The sequence below is a fragment of the Homo sapiens genome, chromosome 10 (genome assembly GCF_000001405.40).
Source record: "Homo sapiens chromosome 10, GRCh38.p14 Primary Assembly".
Lineage (NCBI taxonomy): Eukaryota > Metazoa > Chordata > Mammalia > Primates > Hominidae > Homo > Homo sapiens.
This window is the reverse complement of record NC_000010.11, coordinates 92,494,802-92,520,867: the sequence shown is the minus strand read 5'-3', so window position 1 is coordinate 92,520,867 and position 26,066 is coordinate 92,494,802. Positions and strand designations below refer to the sequence as shown.

The 26,066-nt window shown below is 39.1% G+C and overlaps 1 protein-coding gene across 18 annotated transcripts in view; it reads left to right on the top strand.

The window, feature by feature from the left end:
* The window catches only part of IDE (insulin degrading enzyme), a 122,410-nt gene that overhangs the window by 53,226 nt on the left and 43,118 nt on the right, over positions 1-26,066 (top strand). For 15 of the 18 annotated variants that reach the window (NR_136399.2, NM_001322793.2, NM_004969.4 and 12 more), the window contains 7 exons: positions 5,826-5,948; positions 10,706-10,818; positions 11,978-12,140; positions 12,663-12,755; positions 13,202-13,293; positions 14,346-14,426; positions 15,971-16,074. Coding sequence is in view for 15 of the 18 variants with exons in the window: in NM_001322793.2 (NP_001309722.1) it covers positions 5,826-5,948; positions 10,706-10,818; positions 11,978-12,140; positions 12,663-12,755; positions 13,202-13,293; positions 14,346-14,426; positions 15,971-16,074 (769 nt within the window). In the remaining 3 variants the exon portion in view is untranslated. Of the gene's footprint in view, positions 1-5,825; positions 5,949-10,705; positions 10,819-11,977; positions 12,141-12,662; positions 12,756-13,201; positions 13,294-14,345; positions 14,427-15,970; positions 16,075-23,103; positions 23,197-26,066 lie in introns of those variants that run through there. The other 3 variants (NM_001322797.2, NM_001165946.2, NM_001322794.2) reach the window with 2 other exon arrangements.

Sequence of the window (26,066 nt, the reverse complement as noted above, 5' to 3'; positions counted from 1 at the left end):
GTTACTGGGATATGTGTCTGTGGAAAACTAGAAATTTACTGAAAACAAGAGCTGGACCAATCAAGTGTAGGAGTGTTTTCTGATGGCATTTAAGAGGTTTTCACTTAAAGTCCCCTTTTATAACTCATATCTTGTACTTGCATATACTTACTCAGCTGCAGAGGAATTGTCGGTTTAAATTTTGTGGGAAAATTCACATATATCAAAAGGCTTTAGTCTCTCACTTCCAGGATTTTTAGAAGATTGCTATAGCAAGAAGAAAGGGCTTTTTAAAAAGTTTATAATAATTCCAAGTAACTAGCTATAGGTATGTTAGCCTAACTTTCAGGATCTTGGGTTTTCAGAGAACATATAAAATTATAATGGGTTATAACTATCAAGTTGACCTTTCCCTGAGAACATACTATTGGAGAAACCTGTGGTTTCTAAGACGTTTCTAAAACTTAAAACTCATTCCTTCCCAGTATAAGAAATATATTGCTGGCTTCAGAATTTTCCAGGAAAATAAATTTTATTCCCTTGAAAATCAGTATTCATATACATTAGTGCTGAGTTTGTAAGCTTTATTTGTTCTAAACAGAATTTAAAATAGTTGTTAAAATGAAAATATAAAGTAGCACTTACTGGATTTTACAATTTACCAACCCCTCTTCGCATCCATTATTACATTTCTTAGGCTTCACAAAACCCCATGTTAATATTCAGTAATTATTGTCTGATAGATGCTATGCTGAGCCTTAACATGGATTATTTATTTATTTATGAGATGGAGTCTTGCTCTGTCACCCAGGCTGGAGTGCAGTGGCTTGATTTCGGCTTACTGCAACCTCCACCTCCCAGGTTCAAGCGATTCTCCTGCCTCGGCCTCCCCGAGTAGCTGGGACTACAGGTGACCACCACCATGCCTGGCTAATTTTTGTATTTTTAGTAGGACGGGGTTTTGCCATGTTGGCCAGGCTGGTCTCAAGCTCCTGACCTCAGGTGATCCGCCTGCCTCAGCCTCCTAAAGTGTTGTGATTACAGGTGTCAGCCACCGCGCCTGGCAGATTATTTATATTTTAATTCTCACAGCAATCCTGTGAGGTTGGTCCTCTTATTATGCCCATTTATGAATAAGTAAACTGAGGCGTAAGAGAGGTTAAGAAACCTGCCTGTGTCTCACAGCTAGGAAATGAAGGAGAGTCAGGGATTGAGCCTTTCCTTGCTTTTAGCACCTGGACATATATCCATATTATCCCTATTTTACAGATGAAATAAATGACCCCTTGGAGATATTTGGAGACTTTTCCAAGGTTGCTTAATTAGCACATGATGGAGTCAGGACAAGAATCCCTGAATTCCTAAATGCCAAGGCAGTGTTCTCTCCTAGCAGGCGTAGAGTGGAAGGGTCACAGTAGGTGAGCAACCCTGCTCCTCCATTCACTGCTGGAGCTCACCTGGATGCAACAGAGCCAGAAAGGTAGGATTCAAGATTTTAGTACAAGTAGCAGCATTTTAATTTGACATAAATGACCCAGCTGAATGAGCACAAAATTAGGACAGTATGTGTCTAGAGACTGAATTGGTATTTATTATCCCAGCCTTATTCACGTTGTTCTCCATACATGGTTTCTTAGGTGTTGGGGGGCAGTCATCTGGACCATTTACTCAGCTTCTAGCCACAATTTCTATTTTTTTCTCTGGGGAGTACATCTTTTTGTATAATGATTCACTCAGAAGCCAAGAGTCCTTCCTACAATTCAAATTGTAACAGCAGTAGCTACTGTTTGTTGTTTATTTTCCGTTGTTTATTTATTAAGTATTATGTTAAATACTTCAGTATTTTTACAGATTTATGATGTAGTTGTCATACAAAGAGGTAGGTACACAGACATTTGCCAGATCATTCTCTGTCACACTGCTTAAAGAAAGAGAACGTTACAAATGCACTTTGAGCATCCGGTGTACACTTCAGTTGCATTTTCCTTCCTGCTCCTGAGAGATAACCACTATCTTCTTTAATGATTATCATTTCCGTGTTTATAGTTTTATATGTTTTTAGGTTTCATGGAAATAGTATTTTATTGTGTGTAATCTCTGCCGCTTGTATTTTTTCATTCAACATTTTGTTTTGTAAGAGTTGTCCATATTGATGAGTATTCCTCTGATAATTTTTGTATTTTATTGCTCTTTGAAAAATTCATTGAATGACTGTACCACTATTTATTCATTTTCCTGTTAATGAAACAGTGTTACTATGGAATTGTTGTACATGTCTCCTTGTACACAGACTTCTCTGGATACATATATCCAGGAGTGGAATTACTATGTAGTAGGATATGGACATCTTCAGATTGACTAGGTTGTTTCCTGTAGCGGTTGATTCAAGATGCACTCCATCAGGCAGTGTCTGAGTTCTCATTCTCTGCATACTAAACAACAGTTGGTGTCGTAAGACTTTAACATTTTTGTTAAGTAATAGTCTTATACTTTTTTTACGTGTATTTTTCTCATTATGTACTGTAAGTCCACTAATGTCAGTTGAGGAGATTGAGCCACAGAGAAGTAAAGTAACTTGTTCAAGGCCATGCAGTCAGAAGATATCTGGCCCCAGGAGAATCAATTGAATCTTGGAGGTGGAGGTTGCAGTGAGCCGAGATGGCAGTGTAAAGCACTAAGGAGCTTAAGCAAAACTCCCTCTAGAACTGTGGCTTTTAGAATCTTCATTTAGTAGAAAAGAAAGGCTTCATCAATACTCAAATTTCACCTTGATACGAGAGAACTTCAAACATTCTCCAGCAAAAGGCCTTTTTTTTTCCCTAAGGAGTTAGGACTATGGGTATGCACCTAAGAGCATCTGGACCCCTCAGGTAGAGTGAGAGAATAGAGAATGTCTCAGGACCTCTCTGGGCAGTAAAGCAGAACTAGGTCTTATTTATTTATTTATATTATTTTATTTATCTATCAATCAATCAGACAGAGTCTCACTCTGTCACCCAGGCTGGAGTGCAGTGGTGTGATCTTGGCTCACTGCAGTCTCTGCCTCCTGGTTTCAAGTGATTCTCATGCCTCAGCCTCCTGAGTAGCTGGGATGATAGGCATGCCACCATGCTTGCCAGGCTGGTCTTGAACTCCTGGCCTCAAGTGATGCACCTGCCTTGGCCTCCCAAAGTGCTGGGATTACAGGCATGATCCACTGTGCCCAGCTTGAACTGGTCATTAGTGAGAAAATGAGAGAACTAATTAAGAACCTGGAACCAACCTGGGTAACATAGACCCTGGTTCTACCAAAAAAAATAAAAATAATTAAAAAAATAGCTGGACGTGATGGTAAATGCTTGTGGTCCCAGCTACTCTGGAGGCTGAGGTAGAAGGACTGCTTGAGCCCAGGAGATCGAGGCTGCAGTGAGCTGTGATTACACCACTGCAGTCTAGCCTGGGCAACAGAGTAAGACCCTATCTTAAACAAAAACAAGAACAACCTGGAAACTTGGGTGATAGGCTACTTCTAGTGAGTATGAATGCATATGATTACTTTGTGACTAGGAAAAGGTTAATGAGTTAAGGTTAAGGTTACTTGCTAGGCTGTTTCTTGCACATTCTGTCTTCACTGGATCTGTTAAGCATTCTGGGACAGGAATCTTAGTACTGTGCAGCACTACTGAGCTAAAGACTGAGTTTGAGAGCGCCATCTGGTGGCTTTCTGTAGACATCCAATTTCATGAAAGAGGGACTTTCCCAGTGCCCCTATATCAGATATTATAAAAACACAAGAAAAAAAAATTAAACCACTTCAAGAACATACTCTACCATAGTTTTATCTCTGCAGAAGAAAGACAGGATCTCACTTAGTAGTGTAAGTAGAACCAATAATAAAAGTTATTATGCCAGGATCTTAGGATATTTCCAGTCAAGATGCCATTTTGGAGAGACACCGATCATTGGAATTTCATCTCCCAGTCCCTAATTTGCAAGGTATTATTTAGAGAATTTGACTATTTGTTTTTGACTTACATATTTTACCCTACTTGAATTAGTTATTAAGATTTCATGAGAGCTGTTAGTGGTACACTACATACATCGCTGGAGAGTTATAAAAATAGCATTGCATCCTTTTTTTAACCAGTCTAGATCACATCTATGAGAATTCACATCACAAATTTAATGGTTTGGCCCAAAATAGTAAATTTCTTTCCACAAGTAACTTGGCAAGTTCTAAAAAAATCCCTCAGTGACTCTGTTCAATTAATTATGGAGTACATAGGGAATTGAAAATTAAAATAAGCATGAATGGAGGCCATGTGGATCTTATTTTGTCTTTTAAGCACTCATAATACCTACTATCTCATAGGGATTTTAAGAAGTGGAGATATAGATACAGATATAGACATATTTTTTTGAGACAGAGTCTCACTCTGTTGCCCAGGAGTGCAGTGGTACAATCTTGGCTCAATGCAACCTCTGCCTCCTGGGTTCAAGTGATTCTCATCCCTCAGCCTCCCGAGTAGCCGAGACTACAGGTGCCCACCACCATGCCTGGCTAATTTTTGTATTTTTAATAGAGAGGGGTTTTCACCACGTTGGCCAGGCTGGTCTTGAACTCCTCACCTCAGGTGATCCACCCATCTTGGCCTCCCAAAGTGCTGGGATTACAGATGTGAGCCACTGAGCCCAGCCAAGAAGTATAATTTTTTTTTTTTTTTGAGACGGAGTTTCCGTCTTGTTGCCCAGGCTAGAGTGCAATGGCACAATCTTGACTCGGCGTGATTTCGGCTCACCGCAACTTCTGCCTCCTGGGTTCAAGTGATTCTCCTGCCTCAACCTCCCAAGTAGCTGGGATTACAGGCATGTGCCACCACGCCTGGCTAATTTTGTATTTTTAGTAGAGACGGTGTTTCTCCATGTTTGTCAGGCTGGTCTTGAACTCCTGACCTCAGGTGATCTGCCTGCCTCGGCCTCCCAAAGTGCTTGGATTATAGGCGTGAGCCATGCACCCGGCCAAAAGTATAATTTTTATAAGACACTTTTAGGCCGGGCTTGGTGGCTCAGGCCTGTAATCCCAGCATTTTGGGAGGCCGAGGCAGGCAGATCACCTGAGGTCGGGAGTTCAAGACCAGCCTGACCAACATGGAGAAACCCCATCTCTACTAAAAATACAAAATTAGCCGGGCGTGGTGGCGCATGCCTGTAATCCAGCTACTAGAGAGGCAGAGGCAGGAGAATCACTTGAACCCGGGAGGCGGAGGTTGGGGTGAGCCGAGATCACGCCATTGCACTCCAGCCTGAGCAATAAAAGCGAAATTCCGTCTCAAAAAAAAAAAAAAAAAAGGCCGGGTGCGCGGTTGCTCATGCCTGTAATCCCAGCACTTTGGGAGGCTGAGGCGGGCGGATCACGAGGTCAGGAGATCGAGACCAGCCTGGCTAACACAGTGAAACCCCATCTCTACTAAAAATACAAAAAATTAGCCAGGTGTCGTGGTGGGCGCCTGTAGTCCCAGCTACTTGGGAGGCTGAGGCAGGAGAATGGCGTGAACCCGGGAGGCGGAGCTTGCAGTGAGCCGAGATCACACCACCGCACTCCAGCCTGGGCAACAGAGCAAGACTCCGTCTCAAAAAAAAAAAAAAAAGACACTTTTAATTCCGTAGAGACGACTATAGTTTAAAATGTTGCTGGTTTGTACTCTATTATCCTGTTTATTCACTTAACATTCAAATAAATTTGAGTTATTCTGTGTATTAGAACTTTATTTTTAAAGTTCATCTTAAGCAATATCAGTGATAATTACAAAACTTTAAAAGTCCACATATTTTGCTTTTTCTAAGAAATCCCTTTTCTTCCCTTCCAGGTAACAAATATACTCTGGAGACTAGACCAAACCAAGAAGGCATTGATGTAAGACAAGAGCTACTGAAATTCCATTCTGCTTACTATTCATCCAACTTAATGGCTGTTTGTGTTTTAGGTCGAGGTAAGAACCCTTACAATTTTTTATAGAATTGGATAATATAAGTTTTTAATGTTGGCTTTTTCACAGTGTTAGAAGATGGATATAAGATAGAGCTGCTTATTTGCTCAGCATCTTTTGAAAATGATCTACTTGTTAGAGAATACATAGGTGGGGATTTTTATGTTTAAATCATTGTGTTCCCAAAAGAAGTTTAAGTGGAGATCTGAAAAAAAATACAAATTACTACAGTAATAGGTGCTCTAAGCATATAAAAGCAAGGCAAGCCCAGCCTGGGCAACATAGTAAGATCCTGTCTCTACCAAAAAAAATTTTTTTAAATTAGTGGGATGTGGTAGTCTGCACCTGTAGTCCTAGCTGCTAGGGAGGCTGAAGATCGCTTGAGCCCAGGAGTTAAAGGCTGCAGTTAAAGGCTGTGATCACCACACCACTGCACTCCAGCCTGGGTGGCAGAGAGAGATCTCATATTAAAAAAAAACACACAAAAAGGACAAAGATTGGCAGATTTGACCTTATAACAATTCAAAAAACTGGAAAAAAAAAAAGCAGATGATGATAAACTTGGGAAACCATTTGGAATGTAAACAATGGTTTGATTTTTAAAATGCAGATTAACTACTAACATTGTTTCCTGCTGTTAAATTATCACAGTTTTGTTTTGAAGTAATACCCACTGCCGATGGTGTTGCTTTTTTATATTGGTAATGATGGTATCAATTGCTCTAGTCTTTCTGGAGGGCAGTTTAACAGTATCAGTCTTAAAAGTAAAGATGCATTTTTACTTTTAAAAATGCAATCTCAGGAAATAATCAGAGTTCAAATAGGAGATATAAAAGGATGTTTCTGTCAGTATAGTACATATTAGCGAAAATTTAGAAATCTAAATGTTAATAGGAGATTGGCTAAATACTGATTTTATAATTGCAAATAGAATATCTTATAGAAAAATAACATTTCCTATTCTACTTTCCATCTTACCTGCTTTTTCTTTATAGTATTAATACCTCAGGTATTAAATATTTGTGTGTTTTTGTTGTCCACCCTACCAAAGTGTAAATTACTTGAGAATAGAAACTTTGTTTTGTTCACTGCTTTATCCTCAGTACCTGGGCTCGTGCTTGGCACATCATAGGTAAATATATATTGAATGAATAAACAGTTTTATGACAGCATTTTAATACCATGGGAAGATATTCTTAATATATTCTCATATATATGAATATATGTTCTTATATGTGCATATATAACTAAACATTTTTAATTAATATATGTATATTATATATAAGAATATAATTTTTAAAATGTTCTTAATATATTAAAGAGAAAACAAAAGCTGTTTACAAAAACATGTGCTATATGGTCCCATTTTGGGATTTATTAAAAATTCCAAGACATATCCCCCCCACAAAATTTTTAAAAACTCTAATAGGGTCCAGGCACAGTGGCTCACACCTGTAATTCCAGCACTTCGGAAGGCCGAGGCAGGTGGATCACTTGTGGTCAGGAGTTTGAGACCAGCCCAGCCAACATGGCGAAACCCCATCTCTACTAAAAATATAAAAATTAACCGGGCATGGTGGCGGGCACCTGTAATCCCAGCTAGTTGGGAGGCTGAGGCAGGAGAATCACTTGAACCTGGGGGGTGGAGGCTGCAGTGAGCCAAGATTGTGCCACTGCACTCCAGCCTGGGCAACAGAGTGAGACTCCATCTCAAAAAACAAACGACAACAAAAAACACCAAAAACTCTAATATACCATATATGGTGTAGGTAAAAGACAAAATGGAAAAGCATGTACTAGAAATTTAATAATGTTGTATAGTAATTAAGAACTCACATTCTACAGTCCAACAACCTGGCTTTTCATTCCAAATATACCACTTACTTAGCTGTGTGGCTATGAGCTAACAAACTTACTTAGGTTTTTCAAACTTCAGTTTTCACATTTGTAAAGTGGTGGGTGGTACATTGTACCTGTTGTGAGGTTTAATTGAGATAATACAAAGTGTTTAGCAAGGTGCATGGCACATAGCAAATGCTCCATAAACAGTAGTAGCCACTCTAGCACCTTTATAATCATGAAATTATGGTAACTTTTGTTACCATAATTTAGCTTTTGTTTCTAAGTTTTCTGCTATTGGCAAATGTTACTTTTATAGTTAGAAAATAAACTATTTTTTAAGTTGGTAGCAAGAACCAGGGTGTAAAATGGATTCAGGGAGTGAGGACAGTAAAAAAAAAGCATACTCTGTAATGCTATGTGCTTGCTTCAGGTAGGTGGGTTTAGAATGTTAAAATATCACTTGCTGTTTAGAACCCAGTCCTGGGATTAGGTGCCAAAGCTGGGTGTTTTTTTTTTTTTTTAATCTATGTTGTATTTGAGATTAAACACATGATTTCAGTAAACATTTAATAGGCAAGTAACAATGGCAATAGATGAATCAAACCTGATCCCTGTCCTCAGAATGTTCTTGGTTTAGTGGAAATGACAGAATAAGAATCTAAAAAATAAAGTGTCTCAATTCTCTGATCCATACACATCACTCTCCCATTGTGACTGACTTCCTGTGCTGAACCAGAGAGAGATGTCTTTACAGTATAGAGGTATGAGGAGGAAACTGGATCTCTTGGAGGATTAAAAGATAATCCACTCCTTCTTTTGACGGGAGGAGAGAGGAAGAGTAACCATGTGGAAGGATCTCTGTCACAAGGGAACAAAAAGTTTTTCTGTTCTTGCCTGGAGCTGTCTCCCTAGTTGTGGAAGCACTAATTATCTGAACACTTGCCACATAGGTAATCATCAAGTACAGACACTGAGGTTGCCAAACCTTGATGATATGAAGGTGAGTGGGACTCAGTTCCCTGATGTCTGGGGAGCTCACAGTTTAGTGGGGTAGACAGACTGTGCAATAGTGTTTAGCTCCCTTACCTTTAAAAAGTGACACTGTGAATTTATGCTTTTAGGGTAGAAATACGCAAGAGGAAAGATACACCTGGTAGAACCTTGCTCAGGGTGTTGCTGTCACCAGTACTGCAGGCCCACAAACCTTTATTGACTGCTCACCTTGTTTCAAGTCATATGTCCCATCTGCAAAAAGATGTCTCTGACATCTCTTGCTACAATATTCCTTCTCCATTCCTAAATTCACTTGTCATATAATAGGCAGCCACTGATCTGCCTTTTATTTGGCTCTGGACATTTTGGAGTCCTTCATACATGTCAAAAAAATTGAGGCAAAAGTAGGTATATTTTATAAATAAAATGCAAATGCCTACACTTAAAGGCACAAAAGAGAATTTTACACCATATAAAGGCAGCTCTCAAATAGTCATTTAGTACTCTCGAGAATTCATGGAAAAGTTCCAAATGGGTCATAGAATATCAAGGCAAGAATCTTATTTGATTCAAATGCTTACTGACAGTAACAGGTTATGAATGTTTATACCATTTATAAATAACCTATTTTTGAGGAGACAGAATCAAGATGAGAGGTTATCTTGTTTATAAAAAGACAGGTTTTGGCCAGGCATGGTGGCTCACATCTGTAATTCCAGCACTTTGGGAGGCTGAGGTAGGCAGATCACTTGAGCTCAGGAGTTTGAGACCAGCCTGGGCAACATGGTGAAACCCTGTCTCTATTAAAAATACAAAAAACTAACAGGGTGTGGTGGCACACGCCTGTAATCCCAGCTACTGGGGAGGCTGAGACATGAGAATCACTTGAACCTGGGAGGCAGAGGTTGCAGTTAGCTGGGATTGTGCCACTGCACTCCAGCCTGTGCAACAGAGCAATACCTTGCTTCAAAAAAAAAAAAAAAAAGTTTTTTTTTTTTTTTTTAACACTGCTTTCTTTTTAGGATAATAGTAATTTGTACAAATGGAAAAAATTTAATTCCACACAGAAAGGTATAAAATAAAAAGCAAGCTGTTCTTTATTCCATCCTATGACTGCTGTGCCCTCTTCTCAAAGATCTAACTCATTTCTTGTTATACTTCCAAAAGTAGAATTTTGCTAATATCATATATATGATATATGTGATATATCATGTATGTGATATATATGTGATATATATCATATGTGTGATATGTATGTGCTATATATCATATATGTGATATGTATGTGCTATATATCATGTGAGATGTATGTGCTATATATCATATATGTGAGATGTATGTGCTATATTTCATACATGTGAGATGTATGTGATATATATCATATATGTGAGATGTATGTGATATATATCATATATGTGAGATGTATGTGATATATATCATATATGTGATATATATATACACACACACATATAAAATGTGCATTTTGGAGTCCTTCATACGTGTCAAAAAACTAAAGTAAAAATAGGCGTCTTTTATAAATAAAATGCAAATACATTTAAAGGCACAAAAGATAATTTTATACCATAGAAGGCAATTCTCTGTCTATGTATAAGGTGAACATTATACTCTATCTGCTAGTAGTTCAGTATATATGCCTGTTGGGAATCATAGTCATTTTTCCAAATGCAATTATTATTGTTTCTAATATTTGTTTTAATTTTATTATAATACTTGTGAAATAATATTTTGAATAATATTTGTGAATAATTTTTTAAAGTAGAAACAGATAGGTGTGAGGTGTAATCATTTTCACATTTTCCTTTCAGTAGTACTGAGACTTTTCAGGAGATCCTAAGATTTTAAGCACTCCCTGTTGGATGTTATGATTCGCTTAAGTTCTGTTTTCCTTGTCTGTTTTCTTGTAGAATCTTTAGATGACTTGACTAATCTGGTGGTAAAGTTATTTTCTGAAGTAGAGAACAAAAATGTTCCATTGCCAGAATTTCCTGAACACCCTTTCCAAGAAGAACATCTTAAAGTAAGTGCATAAATTTTGGTATTTTGTCTTCTTAATTTATGGACATAATATATACCTAGTTTACCATAGAACAGGTGAAAATTTTTGGAGGTTTCATTATTTATGTTGTGTTTTTTTTTTTTTTTTTTGGAAACAGAGTCTTGCATTGTCACCCAGGCTGGAATGCAGTGGTGCGATCATGGCTCACTGAAGCCTCAACTTCCCTGGCTGAATTGATCCTCCCACCTCAGCCTTCTGAGTAGTTGGGACTACAAGTACACACTACCACACCTGGCTAATTTTTGTATTTTTAGTAGACACAGGGTTTCACCATGTTGCCTTGACTGATCTCGAACTCCTGATCTCAAGTGGCCCACCTGTCTCAGCCTCCCAAAATGCTGGGATTACAGGCGTGAGCCACTGCACCCAGCCCCTATGTAGTGTTTTTTGTTTGTTTGTTTCTGTTTTTGGTTTTTTTGACATGGAGTCTCACTCTGTTGCCCAGGCTGGAGTGCAGCGGCGCGATCGTGGCTCCCTGCAACCTCTGCTTCCCAGGTTCAAGCAATTCTTCTGCCTCAGCCTCCTGAGTAGCTGGAACTATAGGTGCATGCCACTGTGCCTGGCTAATTTTTGTATTTTTAATAGAAATGGGGTTTCACCATGTTGGCCAGGCTGAGGTCGAACTCCTGACCTCAGGTGATCTGTCTCCCTCAGCCTCCCAAAGTGCGAGGATTATAGGTGTGAGCCACCGCACCCGGCCCCCATGTGGTTTTAAATATTTGTCGGGATAATAAAATCAATCTCACATTTATTAGGATCATGAATCACCAAAAACATATCAATATGTTCTGGTCTTTACATGCTAAAAGTAGTTTTGGTAGCTGTAGTCTTAATAGACTGTTGAAGCTGTTAACCTGTACCTGAAGATAAGCATTCAAAACCATTAATATTTAGCTGCATGGTTCAGGGGGTCAAACATGGACTATATACCGACTGTAATGAAATTCCACTAGGAGAGTGCTGAGTCATTTATTTCTTTGTGGTCAGTGTATCATTTTCTGTGGCAATTGATTTGCTCTTAAATTTGGGATTCTCCCATGAAAATCATTCTTCATAGTTTAGAAATATTTTCTTCAGTAGGAGTCGTATATAGCTAATCTCTGTGATTTGTTTTCTCCAGCAACTTTACAAAATAGTACCCATTAAAGATATTAGGAATCTCTATGTGACATTTCCCATACCTGACCTTCAGAAATACTACAAATCAAATCCTGGTCATTATCTTGGTCATCTCATTGGGCATGAAGGTCCTGGAAGTCTGTTATCAGAACTTAAGTCAAAGGGTAAGTCTCCTGGGCAGCATCTTCTGAGTGTCCACCACATCTTTTCACTCTGGCTCTCATTTTCTCCTGAATAGTGTCCTATGAAGGAACATTGTTAGATGTGACCATTTTGGGTTAGTGAGTGAGATGGTGGTTGTTGGCACGCTGTTGCCTTTTTTTTTTTTTTTTCTTTTTTAGATAGAGATGGGGTTTCGCCATTTTGCCTAGGCTAGTCTCAAACTCCTGGTCTCAAGCGATCCGCCCATCTTGGCCTCCTAAAGTGCTGGGATTAGAGGCATGAGCCACCGCGCCCAGCCAGTAGTCTACTCTTGACTGGGAATTGATTTGAGGAATCTTCAGGAAAGCCCCCACTTCTGCACCATCTTAAACTGCTTTTCTGAACTGATTTTTTTTTCCCAATCTTTTCGCAAGAGGTTCATTCTGATATCTTAGGAACATACAGTATGAATTTTTAAAATTTTTCTTATCTTCAAGGAAGCCACATATGCAATCAATCGTATTGATTTCCTTTGAATGTTGCAGGCTGGGTTAATACTCTTGTTGGTGGGCAGAAGGAAGGAGCCCGAGGTTTTATGTTTTTTATCATTAATGTGGACTTGACCGAGGAAGGATTATGTAAGTATTGATTCACCTTTTTACTTTTGAATGAAAATTTACTTTCTATGATGTTTTTTAACTTCTTCATGCTGTGGATCTGTTTTATGTTGAAAGCTACAACACTTTAATTCATACAACTTATCCATTGTATTTTTCATATGTAACTTGGCCTTTGTTTCATGGATGATTCTTCCCCCCTTAACAACTGATCATTATGTTGCACTTGTTAAATGTGGACTTGGCTTTTTATTTGCTCATTTACTGCCCCAACACCCTTTCTGTCACATATCTCTGAGCCCAGAGGGCCATGTATGTGGGACACGTAAAGCCAGTCTCAGGGAGGTGAGGACTGCATTTTCTAAGAGGGACCATCTTCCACTTATCTGACTTTACCTTAGGAGTGAGCTCACTGCTTTGAAGGATTCAAGGACTGAATGGTTTTTAAGTGTGCCCCTTTTTTCCAGTACATGTTGAAGATATAATTTTGCACATGTTTCAATACATTCAGAAGTTACGTGCAGAAGGACCTCAAGAATGGGTTTTCCAAGAGTGCAAGGTACTTTTGTTTCACCAAAATTTTTCTTAAGGAATCTGTTTTTCAAGAGCAAATACATGTGAATTAATTTAAATTTAAGGCCCAGTTAAACTTTTAAAGTTTTTTTCCTAACTGAAGTCTAAAATTTTGCAATGTATAATAGTATTAGTTAAGGCTTAGTTGTACTAGTCTGATTTGCTACTTGGGGCACAACTAAGGGGAAAGGCATCGTGTAGCCCTTTTTAGGATGGAAAAGGGAAGAAATCAAATGCTTTTCCATCACTCAGAAGAAAATCAGCAGTTTCTTGAGCTGGAATATGTCAGGGATTATGTTACTCCCTGCCTGAAGCTGCATGAGCTCTGTCGTTTTCAGATCTTTAAATCTGTAGCAAACTCTCAAAGAAGTAATGAATTGCTTTATGTATGATTGTGTTATTAAAAGTGATTTTATTATTGTATGTATGGGAAGAGGCTGGCTTTTTTTTTTGCGTAAAACAAATGGTGTTTGTCTTTCAAATTTTTAAAAGCCTTTTAAAAAAGGGTTTTTAAAAATACGTGCTTTAAAGCCTATCGAGATTCTCAAATGTATTTTAGTATGAGAAACATCCTTTTTAACTAGATAAAAGTTTAAAGGTATAATCTCTGCTTCTGAAAATTATGACAATAACTCCTAATCTGGGTGCTGTTCTCTGAATGAGTCACCAAAATCATCTATGGTGGAATTGTTGGATCTCACAAGGTTCTTTCACACAGTTTTTCTAAATTCTTTGGCTATTAGTTTCAACAACTTAGGCTATCGAGCCATATCCTGTATTTGTTATTTTCATTGAAAGTTGTTTACCTATTTTGCTTTTGGTTTTAAGCCTAGATTGATGGATTAAATTTTATACACATTAAGAAATTTTTAAAATATTCTATACATTTCTAAATCAAGCATAGCCATTTTTTCAGAAAGTGTGATAAAGTTAAATATGGAGTAGAAAGCTTATAGTGCAAGCCAAACACTTAAAAAAAAAAAAAAAGGTTTCTAAATAAGGGTGGCCGTATCTAATTGGATTAACTTTCTATTTTAGGACTTGAATGCTGTTGCTTTTAGGTTTAAAGACAAAGAGAGGCCACGGGGCTATACATCTAAGATTGCAGGAATATTGCATGTAAGTTTGTTGTTATTTTACTGTATACATTGCTGTGTGGAGTATTTCAGCAATCTTGCATATATTTTCAGTAATAAGTGAATGATTACAATTGAAGCTGAGGTATAAAGCTTTCAACTTTGTAGCAACAGGGCAAATGTTGATGTCAGGAGATGTTTAAAATCTTAATTTTCATCATCGTGAAATTTATTTTATGTAATATTTTTATTAAATATGCATTTTGCTTATTGGCTTTAAATATATTTCAGTTCTACAGCATATCAGGTGTTACTTATATGAAAGCTATTGATCATTTACTTTTTTAAAATTTCCATTGCTACCATCCTAGTCTGAGCTATCATCATTTCTTGCTTGGGCTACCATGATAGTCTTTTACCTGCGATCCCTATTTTCCTCTTGGTCCCCATTGTAGTTTATTTTTCCAGGCTCGTGATCTTTTGAAAACTAAAATCTGAATGTTTCACTCCTCTGTTTAAATTCCTTCAGTGGTTTCCCAACAGAGTTGGCATAAAATGCAAAATTTTCCTTGGCCTACAAGGTGATGTGGCCCCAGCCTATCTGGCCATCTTCTATACCACTGTCCAGCCCACCTCTCCCATTTGCATTCCACTCCAACTGTACTGGCTCTCTAATTTTCAAGCATTAAGTTTATTCCTCCCCCATTGCTATTTTCTCTACATGAAACACTGTTCTATCTGATCTTTGCCTGGCTAGGTTCTTATCATTTCAGTCTCCACTCAGAGTTCTTCTCCTCAGACCTTCTCTGACCTCCCAATCTAAAATAATGCCCCTGCCCCTTTTTTTATTGTTTTCATAGCATCTCTCACTAACATTACAATATTTGTTTGTTGTCTGCCTCCCTCCCAATTACAATGTCTGTGTGCTTCTTGGAGGACAAAGGATTTCATGTGTCTTACCTACTTTTGTATCCATAGTGTGTGGAACAGTGTCTGGCACATAGTAGATGTTCATTAAATATTTATTAGATGAATGAATCAGTCAGTGTGTCTCAGTATATTGGAAGTTGCTCTTACCAAAAAGCATCTTCTGCATTGTTTTTCTACACTGGCCAAAAATATAAGCCATTTTTTTTTCCACAGCCGCTTCCTAAATGTTTGTCTAATTTGTTTCATAGAAATTTAGGAGGAAATTCTGTTCATAAAAATGTGTGTACTTTATATTTTAAAAATCCTGTAGGTGTCAGCATTTTAATATCGAATTTTCTTCATTAACAAGTACTCAGTTTTTAACCAGAAACATTCGTGGTTTTCCCCGAAAGAAATGTGATTTTGCTCTCTACAATGGAAGTATGTTTGGGGATTAACAGTATATTTGGCAGAATCATCAAACAATATGAAACTGCTTAACAATGTGGTAGGAAAGAGACAACGATTTAGGGCTACAGAAAATTTTTCCAATGGAGTAAAATTTAACTGAAGAGAGAAAGGGTGTACAGTAATGAATTTAATGTGTTACAGATCTGCTTTAATAAACTATGTAGTAGCTTTGTATATTTTATTTATTTATATTTTCCTTTTTAAAAGTATTATCCCCTAGAAGAGGTGCTCACAGCGGAATATTTACTGGAAGAATTTAGACCTGACTTAATAGAGATGGTTCTCGATAAACTCAGACCAGAAAATGTCCGGTGAGTCACCATACAGATTTTACTATTATACACTAAATTTTCAATAATGATTAGAATCTGAAAAAATTTGAAATTGTGAATAAAATGCTTTTAAACATTTTATCAAGCATTACAAAAGTAGAGAATAGTATAATGAAGCAACACCAAGCTTCAACCATTGATACATGGCCAGTCTTTTTTAATCTATACCCATCCCTCTTCAGTCATCCCCCTTCCACCCTAAATTATTTTGAGGCAATATCTCTAAAAGATGAGGACATTTTTAAAAACAAATATAATTTTATTATCATAAATAAAATAGAATAATAACCTGTCTTAACCTGGCTTTATTCTAACTCAAACGCCCAAAGTATCAGCCCACCTATCTGACTCATATAAGCAAATGAAGGCACCCTCTTTTTCTTAAGCCACAGTAAAGATTACAATCTCAGAATCCTCCTGATTGACCAGTGGTTAACCTGGAAATCAAAAGTCCAAACTCTTATAGTAGCAGAGGTATTCTTGCTAGAGGAAAGTAGTCCTTAAAGTGCTTGTGAGCCACCACATGATATTCCTCCCATAAAACTGAATTTCATCTATGTTTTCTAAAGTCAAATGATAGAGGGAATATAATTGAATGACATGTTTTACATTTTTAATTTTTCTCCTCTGTTAGGGAAGTATTTTTGAAATTCTACTGGCAATTTGGTTATTGAGTAAGTTTTTTGGAACAGTTGTTTTATGAATAAGATCAACAATGTGATAGAACTTTTTGTAAAAAAAAAAAAATCTTTTTGGGCTGGGCGCGGTGGCTCCTGCCTGTAATCCCAGCACTTTGGGAGGCCAGGGCGGGCGGATCAGCTGAGGTCGGGAGTTCGAGACCAGCCTGACCAACATGGAGAAACCCCGTCTCTAATAAAAATACAAAATTAGCCAGGCATGGTGGCATGCATCTGTAATCCCAGCTACTCGGGAGGCTGCAACAGGAGAATCGCTTGAACCCAGGAGGTGGAGGTTGCTGTGAGCCGAGATCATGGCATTGCACTCCAGCCTAGGCAACAAGAGTGAAACTCCGTCTCAAAAAAAAAAAAAAAAGTCTTTTTGACAGAACTATCCTATCAGAATCTTTTCCTAGTTACCATTGTTTGAACTTTTCCAGACATATTATCAAAGCTTCATTAGCGATAATTGCATATATATGACTTGCACTATACTGTTTAGGTTGAGAACAATAATTAATGTCTTCTAATGTTCAGGTGGGCTTGGCCTATCTATTGTCACTCCTAGGTGGTTGGTGGACTCGGGTGACTTTCTTCTAGGAAATACTATTAGCCAGATTTTACCTGACCTCATGCTAGGATTCAGCTAAATATTCTATTTTTTGGGAAGCCAAGGCAGAGGAGGATCACTTGAGACTAGGAGTTTAAGACCAGCCTGAGCAGCATAGTGACACCCTATCTGTATTTAAAAAGTTTTAATGATTTTTTTATATTATGATACAGTGTTTGGATGAGTACAGATAATTATCTAGCTTCAAGAACAATTTTTTATAGAGATAGGGTCTCACTGTGTTGCCCAGGTGGATCTCAAACTCCTGGCCTCAAGCAGTCCGGCTTAGCCCCACAAAGTGCTGGGATTACAGCCGTCGTGAGCCACTGTGCCCAGTCTAGAATTTTCTTTTCTTTTTTCTTACTGAGCCTAGAATTTTTAAATTGGAATAAGATACCATGGTTTTGAGGTTTAAAAAATATATTAAGGGTCAAAATTTAGAAGTCTTTTTCAATGAAAATAACATGTGAAATTATTTAGAAATTAAATTTCTGGTTTGAGGTACCCAGTAGGTTACAATGTTTCCTACGCAGTTTCTTGCCAATATTTTAAGTCCCCATTTATTGCCTAATCCTTAATTACTCAAGAATTGATTATGATACAGAAAATCTTACTGAAAAACTAGACAAAGTTACTGACAGCTGTGAATTCATTAGAGATTGCTGAGTTGATCATTCTGCCTTTAACAGCAAATGCTCTTTTTCAACTCTAGATAATTTACTGAGGAATTGAAAAACGAAGAAATCTTTCCTTTTCCATTCAGTGAACAACAGAGAAAGTTGTAGATTAAATATTTGTATAACGTAATATGTTAAGTTATTCATGCCTGACGTAGTTTAGTGGGGGATGGCGAGATATAGTTCACATAATTTAAATGGTTTAAAGTGATATATGCACTGATACACATAATTGCATATGTAGAAAATCCTAAGGAATCTACTTTCCCCTTCAAAAATCTGGAACCAATAACTGAATTCAGCACAGTCACAGGTTGCAAGGTCAACATACAAAAATCAACTGCATATCTATATATAGCAACAAAAAAATAGAAAATTAAAAGAAGTATTTATAATAGCAACAAAAGCATAATATTACTAGGAATGAGTTTAACCAAAGATAAGCAAGACTTCTACATAAAAAACTAAAAACAGTAGAAGAGAGCAAATATTAGCCGAGAAAAATGAAAGAAGACCTAAATAAATGGAGAAGCATACTATAGTCATACATTAGGAGACTTGATATTATTAATATGTTAGTTCTCTCCAATCTGATTCATAGACTCAATGTAATCATAACCAAAATCCTGGTAGGCTGTTTTTCTTTTTCTTTTTATTCATTTATTTAGAGACAGGGTCTTGCATTGTCACCCAGGCTGGACTGTAGTGGCGGGATCATAGCTCACTGCAGCCTTGACCTCTTGGGCTTAAGTGATCTCCTGCGTCAGCTTCCTGAGTAGCTGGGATTATGGGTGCAAGCCACTATACCTGTTTGTTTATTATTATTTTTTTTTAGATGGAGTTTCATTCTTGTCACCCAGGCTGGAAGTGCAATGGTGCAATCTCGGCTTACTGCAACCTCCGCCTCCCAGGTTCAAGCAATTCTCTTACCTCAGCCTCCTGAGTAGCTGGGATTACAGGCACCCGCCACCACACCTGGCTAATTTTTTTATTTTTAGTAGAGATGGGGTTTCACCATGTTGACCAGGCTGGTCTCGAACTCCTGACCTCAGGTGATCCGCCCACCTCAGCCTCCCAAAGTGCTGGGATTACAGGCGTGAGTCACCGTTCCCGGCCTTTTTTCTTTTTTCTTTTTTTTTTTAGACGGAGTCTCGCTGTGTCACCAGGCTGGAGTGCAGTGGCGCAATCTCGGCTCACTGCAACCTCCACATCCCAGGATCAAGCTATTCTCCTGCCTCAGCCTCCCCAGTAGCTGTAACCACAGGCACGCGCCACCATGCCCAGCTAATTTTTGTATTTTTAGTAGAGACAGGGTTTCACCATGTTGGCCAGGATGGTCTCGATCTCTTGACTTTGTGATCTGCCTACCTTGGCTTCCCAAAGTGCTGGGATTACAGGCGTGAGCCAATGCACCGGCTTTTTTTTTTTTTTTTTTTTTTTTTTTTTAATGACAGAGTCTTGCTCTGTTGCCCGGGCTGGAGTGCACTAGTGTCATCTTGGCTCACTGCAACCTCCTCCTCCTGGGTTTAAGCAATTCTCATGCCTCAGCCTCCCAAGTAGGTGGGATTACAGGCATGTGCCACCAATGCCCAGCTAATTTTTTAATTTTTTTGTAGAGAGAGAGTCTCACTATGTTGCCCAGATTAGTCTCGAACTCCTGAGCTCAAATGATCCTCCCACCTCAGCCTCCCAAAGTGCTGGGATTACAGGCATGTGCCACTGCACCTGGCCTTTTTTTTCTTTTTTTCTTTTTCTTTTTTTTTTTTCTGAGACAGGATCTCACTCTGTCGCCCAGGCTGGAGTGCAGTGGTGCGATCTCAGCTCACTGCAACCTCTGCCTCCCAGGTTCAAGCGGTTCTCTTGCCTCAGCCTCCCAAGTAGCTGGGATTACAGGTGTATGCCACCACGCCCAGCTAATTTTTGTGTTTTCAGTAGAGATGGGGTTTCACCATGTTGGCCAGGCTGTTTTTCCTTTTTTCAGAAATTGGTTCCAAAATTTATATGGACATACAAAGGACCTAGATAAGTCAGAACACTCCGGAAAAAAAAAAAAATCACCAAATGTGGGAGGAATTAAACCACTAGATTTGAGGACATTAGTATAAAGCTTCAGTAATTAAGACACGGTAGTATTGACATCATATGGATAGACAAAGAAATCATTGGAAGAGAACAGAGTCCAGATATAGTTCCACACATACATGGTCAGTTGATTTTTTTGTTGTGATTAAAAAACAACTTCCCTTTTCTCTCTGCCTTCTGATAATCACTATTCTACATTCTGTTTCTATGGGTTTAACTACTTTCGATACCTAATGTAAGTAGAATCATACAACATACCTTTCTGTGCCTGGTTCATTTCACTTACTATAATGTCTTCAAGGTTCATCCATGTTGTAGCATATGACAGGATTCCCTTTCTTTTTAAGGCTAAATAGTGTTCCATTATATGTATATACCATATTTTCTTTATGCATTCATCTATCAGTCAGTTGGGGTTTTTTTTTTTTTGAGATGGAGTTTCACTCTTGTTGCCCAGGCTGGAATGCCATGGTGCGATCTCAGCTCACTGAAACCTCCATCTCCCGAGTTTAAGCGATTCTCTTGCCTCAGCCTCCCGAGTAGCTGGGATTACAGGCACGCACCACCATGTCTGGCTAATTTTGTATTTTTAATAGAGACGGGGTTTCTCCATGTTGGTCAGGCTGGTCTCGAACTCATGACCTCAGGTGATCCACCGTTCTCGGCCTCCCAAAGTGCTGGGATTACAGGCATGAGCCACTGCACCCGGCCAGTCAGTTGATTTTATTTTTGAGAAGAGCATCAACATAATTGAGAATGGAAAATCTTTTCAACAAATGGTGCTGTTCTACTAGCTGCGTATCTATATGAAAAATGATGAAACTTGACCTTTGCCTCATACTATTTATAAAATTTGAGATAGATCATAGACCTAAATATAAACACTAAATCTATAAAACTTCCAGAAAAAATAGAAAAATATCTTCAAAACCTTGCGATAGGCAAAGATTTCTCAGATAGAACATGAAAAGCAGTAACCACTAACGAAAACACATTGACCGTGCACAGTGGTTCACACCCATAATGCCAGCACTTTGGGAGGCATAGAGGGAGGATTGCTTGAGCTCAGGAGTTCGAGACCAGCCTGGGCAACATGATGAAACCCCATCTCTAAAAAAGTATGCAAATTAGCAGGGTGTGGTGGTACGTGCCTGTAGTCCCAGCTACTCAGGAGGCTGAGGCAGAAGGATCACTTGAGCCCAGGAGGTGGAGGTTGCAGTGAGCCATGATCATACCACTGCACTCCAGCCTGGGCAACAGGGTGAGACCCTGTCTTAAAGAAGGCTGGGTGCGGTGGCTCATGCCTATAATCCTAGCACTTTGGGAGACCAAAGTGGGTGGATCACCTGAGGTCAGGAGTTCAAGACCAGCCTGGCCAACATGGCAAAACCTCATCTCTACGGTAATTCCAGCTACTTGGGAGGCTGAGGCAGGAGAATCGCTTGAACCTGGGGGCCGGAGGTTGCAGTGAGCCAAGATCATGCCACTTGACTCCACCCTGGGCAAAAGAGCAAAACTCCATCTCAAAAAAAAAAGAAAAACCACCAATAAAATGGACTTCATCAATATTAAAAACCGCTCTTAAGTGATACATGCATTTACTTACATCATTAAAATACATTGAAGAAAAATACCCAGAACACACACTAATTTTTACTTTACTTGCCACACTGGTTTTAATTTACTTGCCTCATTTAGGCAAGTAAAACAGTTTAAATATTTGTATTTTCCTCAGTGTACCTATATTTCCAGGGGGGAAAAATCAGCCTAAATCCGGTTGAATTTTATCATATACCTTCTACAAATAAAACCTCTTACCAACATGAGGAGAAAGAGCTATAGATTTACTAATAGAACTTGTTAGACAATCTGTTTTCCAGGTTCAAGCAATTTTCTTGCCTCAGCCTCCCAGTAGCTGGGATAACATGCACCCGCCACCATGCCTGACTAATTTTTGTTTTTTGTTCTTTGAGATGGAGTTTCGCTCTTGTTGCCTAGGCTGGAGTGCAATGGCACGATCTTGGCTCACTGCACCTCCGCCTCCCGGGTTCAGACAATTCTCCTGCCTCAGCCTCCCGAGTAGCTGGGATTACAGGTGCCTGCCACCACGCCCAGCTAACTTTTTGTATTTTTAGTAGAGATGGGGTTTTGCTATGTTGGCCAAGCTGGTCTCGAACTCCTGACCTCAGGTGATCCACCTGCCTCGGCCTCCCAAAGTGCTGGGATTACAGGTGTGAGCCACCATGCCCGGCCTGTATTTTTTTTTAGTAGAGACAAGATTTCACCATGTTGGCCAGGCTGGTCTCAAACTCCTGACCTCAAGTGATCCACCCACCCCGTCCTCTCAAAGTGCTGGGATTATAGGTGTGAGCCCCCATACCCGGCCTCACTAGACAATCTTTAAGATTCCTTCCAGTTACTAATTTTGTGTGGTTTTGTCACCTACTACTAGTCATGAGATCTTGGATACATCATTTTTTTCTTTCAATGTTTATTGAATCACTTACGTGAAACCTCAGAGTTGACAGTCCTGAAAGGGGGACTTGTGAAAAGTTAACTTTATATAATGTCATGAATACTGGCTGTCATTTAATTTCCTTGAACCCTGCTCATCTGCAAAGTGGGGATAGTGCTTTATCTGTATGATGTAAAATGATTTAGCAAAGTCAAAAAGTGTTGTACAAACACAAGGTAATGCTATATTAAAGTTATACCATATAATAAGGATGTGCTTTTTCATTTTTGTAAGAAAAAACCATGATTTAAATTATAATTCTTGCTGCTCTAGAGCCAGTAATTGACCCAGCAACACTTCGTAGGAGTGCATTTGCTGGAGCATATGTTTTACTTTTGAAATTGCATATTTCTAAATTTGATATCTTATGCAATTAAATACCTCTTTTTACTCTCACATTTAAAGAGAAAGCACTTTTCCTCTACAGGATTGGTCTCTGTGACTGTTAACAGTTGTAACTGTAGTAGGTCAGTGATACATGGTGCAAAACAGCCTGGGATAATATTGCCAGCTGCCAGACCAGACTAGGGTGGCTCAAGGGTAAGATTACCTTCTTTAATACCCGCTGAGACAAGTTTAACATTGCAACCAGGTAGGGAAATAAACAGGAAACTCTTAAGAATGAAAGGAACCTTAGAGGCCATTTAATCCAACTCCTGTTAGGTATACACTTGGCCCTCCATATCCGCAGGGGATTGGTTCCAAGACCCCCATGGATATCAAAATCCAAGGTGCTCAAGTCCCTTATATTAAATGGTGTAGTATGGTACTGTGTATCTGTTCTGCAGTATCCCAGCTAAGTAGTTACCAGCTTCAGTTTAACTTCTTCCAAGGATGGGGAACTCATTAAATACCAAGGTAGCCAGTTTCATTTTTGCCAGTCCTAATTGTTAGACAATTATTTTGAATTTTGAGACTTGATTACCTGTTCAAAGGTGTTTACCTATTATTACTCAATGATCATTGTCACCCACCTCCCCTGATCCTATCATTTGGTGCCTGTTTTACCATATTAAATCTACAAAGACAGCTATAGAGTCTTTGTCATGTGCCTTCCTTTAGTCATAAATAATTCCATTTATTTGGGAGAAGTTATTCTTAATTAGTCCATGAAAGTCCTAGTGATAACGACGGTTTTCTTGTCTAAATGTCTGACAGTCTGACAGTTAACTGTAGAATTTTGTCAGGGATCAATTCCTAATTTACTGGCTTATGGTGTTCAGGCTTCACTCCTTTTTTCTTTTTGAAAGTTACAGCATTTGCCCATCTCCATCTCCAGTTTTCTGCCTCATCTCGTGTTCTCCAGCATTTCTAAAAGATGATGGACAATGATTCTGTTAGGATTTGGTAGTTGCCTAAGCATTAGAAATTGTGACTTATCTGTGTTTGGAGATGTGATTTCTCCTTTTTTATTTTTATATTTTTTGAGACAGAGTCTTGCTCTGTTGCCCAGGCTGGAGTGCAATGGCACAATCTCGGCTCACTGCAGCCTCGGCCTCCTGGGTTCAAAGGATTCTCCTGCCTCAGCCTCCCGAGTGGCTGGCATTACAGGTGCCCACTACCACACCTGGCTAATTTTTGTATTTTTAGTAGAGATAGGGTTTCACCATATTGGCCAGGCTGGTCTTGAACTCCTGACCTCAAGTGATCCACCGGCCTCAGCCTCCCAAATTGTTGAGATTACAGGCATGAGCCACCACACCTGGCTAGAGAGGTGGTTTCATACTTGGCTCATTCACCTATCTTCAACTCCTTTTTTCTGTGTTTGGTCCACCTTTACAGTTTAAAGAGCCATGTTTATTTCAAAGACCAGGTAAATAAGAGAGGAGTAGTCCTGCCATCTGTTAACATGAGATTAACTGATTACATTTTGCTATAGGTCATGTGTCCTATTAAATTATGAGTTTTTCCAAATAGGAACTATATTTTGTCTTTCCCAGAATTTGACCTGGTAAGAACTCAGTAAAAGTTGACTGAATTTTCTAAACTTTAAGCCTAATCTTTCTTGACTTTTTTCTTACTTTAAGAAACACTTTAGGCCAGGCGTGGTGGCTCACGCCTGTAATCCCAGCACTTTGAGAGGCTGAGGCAGGTGGATCACCTGAGGTTGGGTGTTCAAGACCAGCCTGACCAACATGGTGAAACCCCATCTCTACTAAAAATACAAAAATTAGCCGGGCATGGTGGCAGGCACCTGTAATCCCAGCTACTCAGAAGGCTGAGGCATGGAAATCGCTTGAACCCAGGGGGCGGAGGTTGCAGTGAGCCAAGATCATGCCACTGCACTCCAGCCTGGGGGATAGAGCAACCCTGTCTCAAAAAAAAAAAACACTTAAAAAATGGTTTTTAGCATTTTTCATGAGCCTCAATTCCTTTAGCACTTTAGCTTTCCTATCACTATTTAAGTATGATTTTTGAATCTCATCAATAGATTTTTTTTTCAACTTTCTGTCTTTTGTGTGTATCCTTTAAAACTCTAATTTGATATCATGATAGTGTAGAATTTTACTAGTGGAAGGAGAGGGTTCATCTAATTTGAATCCCTATTTAAAAATTATTGAGGCCGGGTGTGGTGGCTCACGCCTGTAGTCCCAGCACTTTAGGAGGCCAAGGTGGGTGGATCACCTGAGGTCAGGAGTTGGAGACCAGCCTGGCCAACATGGCGAAACCCCGTCTCTATTAAAAATACAAAAGACTGGGTGCAGTGGCTCATGCCTCTAATCCCAGCACTTTGGGAGGCCGAGGTGGGCGGATCACAAGGTCGGGAGTTTGAGACCAGCCTGGCCAACATAGTGAAACCCTGTCTCTACTAAAAATACAAAAATTAGCCAGGCATGGTGGCGTGTGCCTGTAGTCCCAGCTACTCAGGAGGCTGAGGCAGGAGAATCGCTTGAATCCAGGAGGCGGAGGTTGTGGTGAGCCAAGATCGCGCCACTGCACTCCAGCCTGGGCAACAGAGTGAGACGCCATCTTAAAAAAAAAAAAAAAAAAAAAAGCCGAGTGTGATGTAATCCTAGCTACTATGGAAGCCGAGGCAGGAGAATCGCTTGAACTCAGGAGGTGGAGGTTCCAGGGAGCCGAGATCATACCACTGCACTCCAGCCTGGGCGACAGAGCAAGACTCCGTCTCAAAAAAAAAAAAGAAAAATTAAAAATTAATGAAACTGAAGTTTAGAGAGGCTAAATGGCTTGTGCCTAACTTAGATCTGTGATTTTGGCAAGATTTCAAAGAAAGTGATTCAGAGTATCTGCCAGAATCTCAGTTTCTTATTGCCAGGTCTGTGCCCTTTCCACTAATTGTTTGAATTAATCACAATTACCTATGAAGCCTCTTCTCATTCTTTGGACATCTTTTCCCTATTCTGTGTTAGGCATCATTTGTAAAAATCTCAGGAGAGTTTATTCTTTGG